At 40.3% G+C, this 12,761-nt stretch overlaps 1 protein-coding gene across 2 annotated transcripts in view; it reads left to right on the top strand.

The window, feature by feature from the left end:
- LMTK2 (lemur tyrosine kinase 2) overlaps positions 1-12,761 on the top strand; it is a 102,777-nt gene that overhangs the window by 27,088 nt on the left and 62,928 nt on the right. For both annotated transcript variants that reach the window (NM_014916.4, XM_011515981.4), the window contains exons 2-3: positions 3,366-3,493; positions 7,448-7,592. In NM_014916.4, coding sequence (NP_055731.2) covers positions 3,366-3,493; positions 7,448-7,592 — 273 coding nt within the window. The remainder of the gene's footprint in view (positions 1-3,365; positions 3,494-7,447; positions 7,593-12,761) is intronic.

Genomic DNA, 12,761 nt, shown 5'->3' on the forward strand with positions numbered 1-12,761 from the left:
TCAGCTATGTGGAGTTTGAGGAAGTATAAACTACCCTAATTAATGACAGACTTGGGTTCAAAGGACAGTGGGCTGTTTTTAAGTGTTAAAGGTTAACCACATAGAGGCAGAGCAGTGGGGTTTCAAGGAAAGCGAGGGAGCTTGCACCCAGCACACCTAAACTCAGTCTGGCCTGCCACTGTCCCACCTGGGTTCATGGGCATATCAGTTTCTTCATCTGTGACGTGGAGCTGGTCGTATTACCTCAGAGGTATTGTGACAGCCAAATGAAATAATGCTGTATTTTATCAAATGTCAGATGAGGTTGATGATAAGTCACACCCTTAGTTTTGTACCATTAAAAAGAAGAAATGCTGCCAGTTAAGCTAACTTGAAGTGTGAGATGCACCTGAAATTCAGAGATGCAGTGGACAAACTGTGTGTTATTTTTTCTTTTTATTCTCCCTTACAATCCAAATGCGTCTTTAAAAACAATCAATAAAAAACAGTGTACGTGAAAGCGCTTTGCTTTCCTCAGGAGTCAAATTTAATTTTTATTATGTGCATCGGGAGTGAAGCACAGTTCTTCAGAAATAATTCCAGCAGTCTGGCGCAGTGGCTCATGCCTGTAATCCCAGCGCTTTGGGAGGCTGAAGTGGGTGGCGCACTTGAGCACAGGAGTTCAAGACCAGCCTGGACAACATAGTGAGACTCCCATCTCTCAATAGAAAAAAAAAAAAAAGAAGAAGAAATTCCAGTGGGGAAGCACAGGCTTCTTGTCTGGATGAGTGAACAGCTCACTGCAAGGAGGAAGAGAAGAAAATCATCCTTCTTGGTCTTCATAAGAATTGGCTCTCAGTGCCTCAAGCTCCTCACTTAGTTTAGGTTTTCCAAATGGACACAAGTGTGTCTGTGGTTAGGGAGTTCTTGTTCTCATTGAAAGTTGACTTCCTCCAGATTGGTTTCAAGAGGAAGCACCGAGTTACCTCCTGTGTTAAATGTATGGGCTTTCCTCTGTTTTAGACTTTGTTGATTTAGAACTCGGAGATTCTCAACACCCCTTGGTTAACTGTATTATTCTTAAGCACAGACTGAGCCCGCATGTAACAATGGTGTTTCAGCATTGCTTTCACAAAGGGACCTTTTGTTATTGAAAAAGAACTTAGTTCTGTTTGCAGTTCATTTTAGACTTCCCTGATCTTCACTGAAGCTTATTTTAGATTCAAGAATGTGTTTTGCTCACCTAGGAGTTTGGGTTAGTTTTTCCTCTCTTCAAGTACCCTAGCTTCATTTAAGAAAAAAATAACCTCATTAATTTATCTCTCTGCCTTCCTTTTGGTGCATTTGAACACTTAATTAGCCATAGATGAGGATTTATTTTTATTTTTTATTTTTATTTTTTGAGACAGGGTCTTGCTCTGTCACCCAGACCGGAGTGCAGTGATGTGCTCACAGCTCACTGCAGCCTCCTCCTCCTGGGCTGAAGCCATCCTCCCACTCAGGCTCCTGAGTGGCTGGGACTTCAGGCACGTGTCACCACGCCCAGCTAACTTTTATTTTTATTGCTATTTTTTGTAGATATGGAGTCTCATTTTGTTGCCCAGGTTGGTCTCAAACTCCTGGGCTCAAGCGATCCTCCCACCTTGGCCTCCCAAAGTGCTGGGATTACAGGCATGCTCACTGTGCCTGCCATAGATGAGGATTTTAAGGAAAAGTTTATTTCTCAGTAAAACTCCAGTAGCTGAGACTTTAATAGTTTGCTCTAACAAAGAAAAGGTTCACAACTATCCTAGTTGAATAATATGTTTTCCGGATAATGAAGAACTTGCTAAAAATAAGATGTAAAAATCTTTATGCTCTAGATAGGGATGGGAAAAGGCCAGGCGGTAAAATATTTTAGGCATTGTGGCTCACAGGCAGTATCCTTGGCATATTCTTTTTTTTTTTTAAACAGCCCCTTAAAGATGTAGAAATCATTCTTTGCTGGAGAGTCAGGGGAGGCCCCCCACGCAACAGCAGGCCTCAGGCTGTAGTCTGCAGGCCGCCTCCCTCCCTGCTTATCATGACCAGAGCTCCTTGGAGCAATGGCTGGTTCTCAAGCAGAGTAGGGAAAATATGAGGAGCCTGGAGCTTCCTGTCGTGCCCGGAAGTAAGGAAGAGTTGGAGAAAAAGGGAAGGATGGGGCATGCCAAAAAGATCCAGTAGTCACCTTGGTAGAGCTCCCAGTGACAAGGCTGGAATCGTTGGAGCCACAAAATAAGTGATGATGACTTTGGATTACAGCCCGGAGAATAAATATCCGTGAGTCCATAAGTATATACATGACTGAATAAAATAAATAAGGGGAGGAGAGGGGACCAATCTTCCTTACAGAATTCCAAATAACAAATGTAGAAGAAATGAGGGAAATAGAAAATCACCTTCCAAACATCACAGTAGTAATTGCTGTAGGCAAGATGCCCTGACAGATGCAGAAAACTGGTGTGCAAGACCTGAAGGAGAAACAGGCAGTTGCATAGCCTCAAAGTTTCTTCCCCTGATATTACTAATTACTGGAGGGTTTTTAACCTGTGTCTACAGACTCTACTACTCCTCCCTCCAGGAAGTACAGCTTACGTCCGTTCCCTGTGGGCCAGCATTGCTTTCGAGGAATAGAGTATGAGAAGGGAAAGGTAGGCCTGCAGTGGGTTGGTGACGCCTGGTGGGAGCCACCTGGCCCATGGGATCAAAGTCACCTCACCAGGCATAGGTCATGCGCCCTGCTGTGCAAGCAGGACAGTTCACCCCACTGGAATTCTCTAACTCCTTCCCAGGTAGCCACAACCTTGGTCTAATCCTGAGAAGACATTGGGTGGCCCAGATTGAGAGACATTCCACAAAATAACTGACCAGCACTCTTCAAAAGTGTCAAGAGTTATGAAATGCGAGGAAAGACGAGAAGCTGTCAGAGACTGGAGGAGCTGAGGGGCATGTGGTGATTAAATGCAACGTTGGTAGTTTGGATTGAGTCTGAAAAGAAAAAAGGACTAAAGTGGAGAAAACAGTAAAATCCGAATAAAGCCTGAAGTTCACTTCATAGCCTTGTTACCAGTGTTACTGTCCTAGTTTTGATCAGCATACTGTGGTAATGTACGATGTTAGCATTAGTGGAAGCTGGGTGAAGGCTGTATATGAACTCTCTGTATTGTCTCTGTAACTCCTCTGTAAATCTAAATTATTTCAAAGAAACAGCAGCTTCTTATCCTGGATGGATCATCAGCTTTTTCTCGAGCATTATTTTATTAACCCTTACACCCATTTGTATGTAGAGGAAAATATATTGATTCACTAATTAAAGTTGATTTTGGAATGTACATGTTTTTAATATTATTTATCTCTCTTTCCAGGGGAGGCGCCACCTGCTGCAGAAGTTTCCTCATCTTTTGTGATCCTGTGTGTGTGCAGTTTAATAATATTAATAGTGTTAATTGCAAACTGTGTATCCTGCTGTAAGGACCCAGAAATAGACTTTAAGGTGAGCACAGAGGGTAGGAACATTTAAAATGGTCTTCCAATATGTTTTTCAATAGAATAACTGGATAGCACAGTCCTTTGGGAACAGGATCAGCAGATTTTTTTTCTTCCCCTAATGGCCAAATAGTAAATATTTTCTACCTTAGTGAATAGTAAATATTGTGGGCCATACAGTCTCTAAAACAGCAGCTCAACTCTGCCAGGATAGACACTGTTACCAAATGGTCATGGCTTTGTGCCAATAAAACTTTATTTACACAAATAGGAGGTTTGGATTTGGTGCATCAGCTGTAGTTTGCTCCGCCTCTGTCATTGACAATAACCACTTGCCTGTGGTGAGTTGAGGTTCTTGCTGAGTGAGGAGTGAAGCGTGGTGATTGAATTCACTGTTGTCCGTAAGGGCTATGAGGAAGAGCAAGATGATTGTTCCCCTCCACCCCGAAACTTCTGTAGACTGGTGAATTTGTGGTCACTGAGATTACTGAGGCAGAGGGATCCCCCAGTGTGTTTTGTGAAAGAGGAAGATCATTGAAACCTCAAGTTCCCTAACAGGGAGGAGGAGGCTGCAGATTGTAAAGTCCTGGCCAGGGAGGGTAATAGAGAAGATCTGGTTATAGCAGCAGACGGTGGAATGGACCAGTGAACCAGCCAGGAAGGCCTCTAGAACTTACTGCATGCCTGCTGGAGTGCATTCGGCCTATGTAAATACTTGTTATAAAGGAATACATGGGGGGGAGAAGGAAGGAATGTGGCGTGCAGAGAAAATGGTCCTTAATGTCACTCCCTGTTGACCGCGCAGGGCTGGCCCAGGAGCCTGGAGGTCCAGTGGTTCAAATTGAGGGAAAAAAAAGGTCGTCTTCTGGCTAAAGCCTTGTTTTCCCTGGACATGGGGCCCTGGTCTTTAGAACCTCATGGCTGTTTTTGTGTGCTGTCTTTACCCCAAGCCTTCTAGTAGCGCTGAGGAGACACACAGATGTGCTGTTTTCTTGGGTCAGCACTGGCCGTATACACACAGAGGGCTGAGAACACAGGAGGGTGGTTGGAAAACACTAATGGAGATCAGTTCCTTTAGAATATTTTGCCCCAGACCTGTAGGGTTTTACTCACAACATCAGTCCCTAGGCCTTAGAACCCCTACACACACTGCTATGGCGCCTGCTGACGGCACTAGTAGTAGGGGCACAGTTGTCGGTGGACAGTTTGTGTCCCTTGCTTGTTAGTCTTGCTGTGGGACTTTACACAGAAACCTGGCCATTTCAGGACAAAGATAAAGCCTGATCAGTGTTGCTGATACTGAAATCCAGTCTCCATCTCACATTTCATGATGCCTCATTCTTGCCTTAGATCATGCAAAGCTTTTTGAATCTCAGGATTGAATGCGGGAGTTCATTTGAGAGCCAGGAATCTGTGTTGTTACCAAGCTTCCCCCGGAGATGCTGGCGCAGGGGCCGCAGTGTCTTAGAGGACTCTCCAGCTCTAGAGTCTGTGTGACTGTGTAAAGAGTATTTCCATCTGTGATTTATTGGCTTTCTCTAGATTTAAAGCTGTGCAGTTTTAGAGCTGATGGTCCGTGGAAGTCATTTTACAGACCAGGAAGCTACAGTCTGGTAACACAGGTGACTTGCCGACATTCATCCAGATAGCCAGCAGCAAAACTTTAAAAGTGACCCAGGCTTATCTAATTTTTCTTCTTTTCTTTTTTCAGACAGGGTCTCTCTCTGTCACCCAGGCTGGATCACACTTCACTACAGCCTCAACCTCCCAGGCTCAAGCAATCCTCCCACCTTAGCCTCCCGAGTAGCTAAGGTTACTGCAGGCACACGCCATCATTCCCTGCTAAGTTTTGTATTTTTTGTAGAGACAGGGTTTCACCATGTTGCCCAGGCTGATCTTGAACTACTGGGCTCAAGTGATCCTCCCGCCTCTGCCTCCCAAAGTACTAGGATTACAGGCGTGAGCCACCGGGCCTGGCCATTTTTCTTATTTTTATACTACATTACCTGGTCTGAATCTTTAGAATCATCTGTTGGTATATCTAGTGGTACATCATGCTGCTGCCAAATTTTGAATGGCATTATTTTAAGGTAGGAGTGATGGACAAAATCATTTTACAGAGAGAGCCCTATTTAGGAATGTCCAAAAGAAAATTGAAGGATTTCCTCTGTTCAAAAATCCCCTCCCAGATTGAAGTTACGGTACCTCATTTTTCTTGCTCCCAACTCCATCAATACAAATAGCAATAATGTCCTTTAATGCACTGGAGAACATACATGAGAATAATGTCTTCTCACACGCATATGGAAACACAAGTGTTAGAGAAATCTACCATTGTAACTTTTAGTTTCTTTCTTGTATTGGATGGGGGCTAGGAGAGGTGGTAGAGAAAATGAAAATAAAAGTTCATAGACTGTTCAGTGGAGAACAGTCTTGTTCACTGATCTGTTCCCAGCTTCTGTTATGGTGCCTGGAGGGCTAATACATGTTAATTATCTGAACAAATGATTTGATGAATGACTTGATAATTGGCCGTGTCTATGGTAAATTAACATGGATATCAAGGTATACCAGTTCACCAGAATGGTGACGGAAGAATTGCGATAGCTTCCCACCGAACGTCACGTAAAAGGTTTCCACAACTTTCTTTCTTTCTTTCTTTCTTTCTTTCTTTCTTTCTTTCTTTCTTTCTTTCTTTCTTTCTTTCTTTTCTTTTCTTTTCTTTTCTTTTCTTTTCTTTCTTTTCTTTCTTCTTTCTGTCTTTGAGATGGTCTCGCTCTATCACCCAGCCTTGACCTCCCAGGCTCAAGCAGTCCTCCCTCAGCCTCCTGAGTAGCCAGGACTACTCCAGTAGTCCTGCGCCACCATGCCTGACTAATTTTTTTAAATCATTATTTGTAGAAACAGGGTCTTGCCATGTTGCCCAGGCTGGCCTAGAGCTCTCGGGCTCAAGTGATCCACCTGCCTCAGCTTCCCAAAGTGCTGGGATTACAGGCATGAGCCACTTTGCCTGCCTGCATCCTCAGTTGTAAAGTTGTCATCTTTAGAAAGCCAGACGTGCTTATATGTTAATTACACTTATGCGTCACATGGTTTTTTTAGTGACCTTTGTGGTTCAGATCCTGGTGATTTTTTTTAGCTAATTTAGTAATGTTTCCATTGTTACTCTTTTCAGAGAAATAGAACTCACTTAAAAATATCTTTTCTGAGTCTTTCAACATTTATTTTGATAGAAATCACATTTCAATTAGAAATGCATATACAACTTTAAAATAAAATGATTTATTTTGATTCAGTATGCAAAGAATCATGTCACAAAAGTAATAATATTAAAAGAATTGCTTGGCCAGGCGCTGTGGCTAACATCTGTAATCCTAACACTTTTGGAGCCTAAGACAGGAGGATTGCTTGAGATCAGCCTGGGCAACATAGGGAGACTCTGCCTCTACAAAAAAAAAAAAAATTCAAAAAATTACCTGGGCGTGGTGATGCGTGCCTGTGGTCCCAGCTACTCGGGAGGCTGAGGTAGGCGGCTCACTTGGTTCCTGGAGGTCCAGGCTGCAGTGAGCCATGATCATGCCACTGTGCTCCAGTCACTGTGCTCCAGCCAGGCAACAGAGCAAAACCTTGTCTCAAAAAAAAAAAAAAAAAGAATTGCTTAAACTGTAGTCATTTGAGAGTAAATTTTTAAGCCTAGAAAACTATTTTTGTGTAAATTCCATTGCATTTAACTTCAAACTAACAGTTTAAAAACTTACATGAAATATGTATAATTTATTTTCCTGTCTTATGTATTCTGCTGTTTGGAGTCAGAGAACAAAATTACATATGCTTTTTACTTAACATTAAGTACAAACTGGAAAAAAATAATTGTGGCAGCAAGTTCCAAATCATTGTGCAAATATGTTCCTATTTTAAATGTTAGCCAATGGTTTTTAATGCTTGCTCTCTTTCATTTTAGGAATTTGAAGATAATTTTGATGATGAGATAGATTTCACACCACCAGCAGAAGACACTCCCTCTGTTCAGTCCCCAGCAGAGGTCTTCACACTTTCAGTACCAAATATTTCACTCCCAGCTCCCTCGCAATTCCAGCCTTCTGTAGGTAAGACCATACAGCCTAATGCCACGTTTTCATGAATTGTTTCTGAGATCTGAGAATGGGAGCCTAGCCATCATAAATATTGGACTGCCCATCTCCTCTTTGGTTTATTTCTCTTCCTTCTGCTCCCAGTGAAGCTGAATTCTAGTGGTCAGGCCCATTGTATTCCTGCAATAGCTTTGTCTTCTGCTTTCTGGACCCTGGGTCTGGTATGAGAATAAAACGAATCTCCTTGATTCATTGACATTGAACACCTGGCCAGAACTCCCAGGCTCTGTTCTGGAGGTGGTTTCTCTGCTAGTTCTGGCCACGGCTGACCTTGCTGAGTAGGACTCTGCTGGCTTCCACTGGGATGCCCTGCATTTGGGTAGGAGAGGAAAGTTTGGATATGTTAATCAGATTGACTTTTCTAAGCTTCTTCAGACAGAGGTTTGGTTCTGTGTTAGTTGATGTCTTGTGAAAAAATAGAATGTGACTAGAAAAATAGAATGTGACTATAGTTTTTTTTTTTAGAGTTTGAAATTTAAGCCCTTTTTAGAGTTAGAACTTTTTGTGGTCTTAAGAAATTCTTATTCTGTGATTAAAATAATACCTTTTAAAAAATATTTTAAGCTTTTGCTTTGACCAAAGAAGTAGGTTCAAGAAGTAGGGTTTTCTGAGATTGCCGCAAGAAGGCTGTGTAAGTCTGTAGATGCTAGGACTACCTTTTCTGGTGTGACACACGCTGTGGGCTCTGCCTAGGGCAGAATAAACCCCCGAACTGATGCCACTGCAGGCAGGCATGACTATAAGAAAAAGCCAGATGGAACGTGACATAGTTGGTGCATTTCATTTAAATATTTGTAAAGTAAGAATATATTTAAATTTATAGATTTTGCAGCATTAAAAAAAACAACCTGGAGTGTTTAATTGCTGTAAATAACAATACCCCTACTCCAACCAAAATAATGAAGTTTAAAAGGAGGTCTAATATATTCTTGGGATAACTTAAGTATACTTACTCTAAATGGAAATATTTTATTGTTGCTTGTTTGATAATTTGCTTTCCTTTATACTTAAGAAAAACCTGGAGAGACTTCTCAGAGCTTTTACAGGCCCATAGTCGATCCCCGGTGGATTCATTTCAAGTAGCTGAATTCCAAATTAGATCAGCCTAAGTGGAAACGAGAATTTTCTGACACATGGACCCAGACCGTAGGAAGAACAGGGGTTCAGCTGACCTTGGAGACAGCTAGAACCAGGGCCTGGAACATCATCAGCATTTTAATTCATTTCTGATTTTCTCTTCTCTTTGCATATCTGCTGAATCTCTTAGGCAGCTTCTCTGCTCAGTAGGGAGGTTGGCTGCCAGCAGCTCCACACCCATTCCCTTGTAGTTTTATAACCATAGAGGAAAGGAGCTTCTTTCTCTCTCTCCTTGGACCAGAAAGAAAACCCTTTGGAGGGACATTCTGGTTGTCTTCACCTAAGTCACAGGATGCAGAGCCATCACTGGTCAGGAAGGTGGGGACAGACAGACAGCTTCTCTTCAGGATCTACTGGGGATGGATGGGAGCACAGTCAGATGCAGGCAGAAGAGAAATTATGGTGACCTGGGCAGCCATTGTAATTTTGTTTATATACACACCCCTTTCTGTTTTACTGAAGCCCTGTACCCTAATATCCCTCTCCGTAGGAAGAAATTATTTTAAATTTCTCTGAGTAGAATACCCTCAGAATATTTTTATCATCTTGGGATACGAGAGGCCTTTCCAAGCATGCACCAAATCCAGAATCCATAAAGGAACATACTGCCAAATCTGATTTACAAAAATGAAATATTCTGTATAGAAAAAGACACCACACACAAATTGACAGAGTCGCAAAAAATATTTGTGAACTACAAACAGTATTAAAAACGGTTACATATCAAGAGTACAAACAAATGCAGGATAAAAAGTAACACGCTACTAGAATAAATAAGCTGAGGACATGAAAGGAGAATCTCAAATGGCCAATAAACATAGTAACCTCGTTATTAATTAAAGAAATGCTGACTTAAGCTGAGAGCAGATAGGTAAAGATGAAAAGAAATGACACCAGGTAGTGATTGGCGAGCATGTGGAGAGCAGCAGGCAGTCTCATCCACTAGGATTAGTGCAGCTATAAATTGCTGAAGATGTTCTTTCTGGAGGGGTAGTCGGGCAACATGTATCAAAATATGAGACATGTTGACTCTTGATCGAGCAGTTCCACTTTTAGTAATTTATCTTTAGGAACTAATTGGGCAAGTGTGCAAATATGCATGTACAAAGGAATTTATTGCAGCGTTGTTTGGCAGGGTAAGATGGAAACAGATTAAATGTCTGTCAATATGCAATTTGCTAAATTATAGTCAATCAATACAGTGGCGATTTATGTGTTCCTATAAAAGGATCAAGGTGAACTGTATTTGACTACGAAAGATATTTGTGATATAGTACATGAAAAAGATATACCACATACAAGCAATTCTACAAGTTCTACCATTTTTTTCTTTTTTTCTATTTTTAAAATGTATTTTATTTTTTGCATAGATAATATATTCACTTGGTTCAAAAACCATAACATTACAAAAAATATATATGTTTAGGCTGGGAGCGGTGGTTCATGCCTGTAATCCCAGCACTTCGGGAGGCCGAGGCAGGTGGATCATGACGTCAGGAGATTGAGACCATCCTGGCTAATACGGTGAAACTCCGTCTCTACTAAAAATACAAAAAAAAATTAGCTGGGCATGGTGACGGGCGCCTGTATTCCCAGCTAGTCGGGAGGCTGAGACAGGAGAATGGCATGAACCCGGGAGGCGGAGCTTGCAGTGAGCCAATATCTCACCATTGCACTCCAGGCTAGGGGACAAAGCGAGACTCTGTCTCAAAAAAAAAAAAAGAAAGAAAAAATATATATATATTGAAAAGTCTCCCTGTGGTATTTAAATGTGACCTATTTTCCACTGCTGGCTTCCCTAAGTAACAGCTGCACTGTTGGTTCTGGTTTTTCATACACCTTTCTCGAATTTGTTGATGCAGGTATCTCCCCTCACTCCCATTCACATTTACTTTTAATTTTTTAATTTTTTGTTTTTTAAAAGACTTTTTATAGAGAAGTTTGAGGTTCACGGGAAAATTTAGAGGAAGGTAAGTACAGACATATCTATTATGTCCCCACCCACACACATGCATAGTCCTCCTTTTTTTTTTTTTTTACTCAAAGGTGTCATGGTAAATTCATTATTCTGCATCTTGCTTTTTTTTCACTTACCAACATACCTTGCAGATCTTTCCATATCATTAAAGCGTATGTATTCTTGCTTCTAGGTTCGTACTATGTAGATTGTATAGTTTAGCACAGTTTATTTAAACAGCCCCCTGTTGATGGATATTTGGCTTGTTTCTAATGCGAAAACAAATAAAGCTTGTATCTGTGTTGTTTTGCAGGTGGTTGTTGTACTGGTATCCGTAGAATACATTTCTTAAAGTGGGTCAAAGAGTACATGTGTTTATAATTTTGGTGGGTCTTGCCAGCTTACCCTCTGCAGGAGTCGACCAATTTATCTTCCTGCCAGTTGGGTATCTAATGGTAAATGCCATTGCTTTTGAAGCTAAATTGGTATCAATTCAAACTAGATTGTTATAAATTTAGGATGCTAACTGTAATCCCCATGGTAACCACTAAAAAATTTACAGAAAGGGAAATGAAGAGGGAATCAAAATGGTACACTAAAAAAAAAAAAAATCAATCACACATACAAAAAAGGATTTTTGATGCACAGGATTCCTAATTTTAATATAGTAAATTTTACAGTTTTTTTTAGAGTATGAAATTTAAGCCCTTTTTAGAGTTAGAACTTTTTGTGGTCTTAAGAAATTCTTTCTTATTCTGTGATTAAAATAATACCTTTTTAAAAAATATTTTAAGCTTTTGCTTTGACATTTAGATCTAAAACCCATCTTGAGTTGATTTTTGAGGATGGTGTTAGGAGGAAATCCAACTTCAGCTTTCCTTATAGATTGCTGTGGTTTTTCAGCTTCATTCATGCACTGATCTTTTCTTTTCTCTCTGCCTCCATATGTGTATAGGTCTATTTTAGGCTTTCTATTCTCTGTCATTAATTTGTGTATTTCTTTTCCCAATACCATTCTCTTAATCATAATCATGTCATAATAACATGAATTACAAATATTTCTCAAATTCTATATGTTCTCTTTCACTCTCTTAATAGTGTCCTTTGACGCATAAAACTTTTCCGTTTTAATTTTGATGAAGTCCAGTTTATCTGTTTTTTACTTTTGTTGCTTGTGCTTTTGGTGTCATATTTAAGAAACTATTGCCAAATCCCTGGTCAGGAAGATTCATCTCTATGTTGTCTTCTGTAAGTTTTATAGTTTTAGCTCTTGCTCCTTGATCTATTTTGAGTTAATTGTTTTATATGGTGTGAGGTAAGGATCCACCTTAATTCTTGTATACGTGGATATCCAGTTGTCTCACTTAACAGTGTTTGAGAGACTGTTGTTTTCCTATTGAATTGTCCTGGAACCCTTTTTGAAAATCAGTTTACTATATTTTTTGGGGTTATTTCTGGACTCTCGGCTGTATGTCCATCTTGATACAGACTCTTGATCTGTATGTCTGTCCCTGTGCCAGTACCACACCATTTTGATTGCTGTAGCTTTGGTTTTATAGTAAGTTTTGAAATCAAGATATATGAGTCTTCTTTGTTTTAATTTTTCAAAATCCTTTTGCCTATTTGGGATTTCTTACAATTCCAACTGAATGTAAGTATCAGCCTTCCTATTTCTCTAAAACAGGCCACTGGGATTCTGATAGTTTTTTTATTTTATTTTATTTTATTTTATTTTAGTCTAGTCAAGTGAACCAGTGGGAGTGGAGAAGGAACAAAATAATCTGTAATGGTTGTAATCAAGGAATTTTTTTTTTGATGTACCATTTTGATTCCCTTCTCATTCCCTTTGGATTATATTTTTAAATGTTTTCTTAGTGATTATAATGATTACAATTAACATCCCAAATTGATAACACTTTTGAATTGATACCAGCTTAGCTTCAACAGCACACAAACTCTGCTCCTGTACAGCTCAGTCCCATCCCTTTATGTTGTTGTCACAAATTACATCTTTATACATTTTGTGCCTA

This window comes from Homo sapiens, chromosome 7 (genome assembly GCF_000001405.40).
Source record: "Homo sapiens chromosome 7, GRCh38.p14 Primary Assembly".
In the NCBI taxonomy this organism is placed as follows: Eukaryota; Metazoa; Chordata; class Mammalia; order Primates; family Hominidae; genus Homo; species Homo sapiens.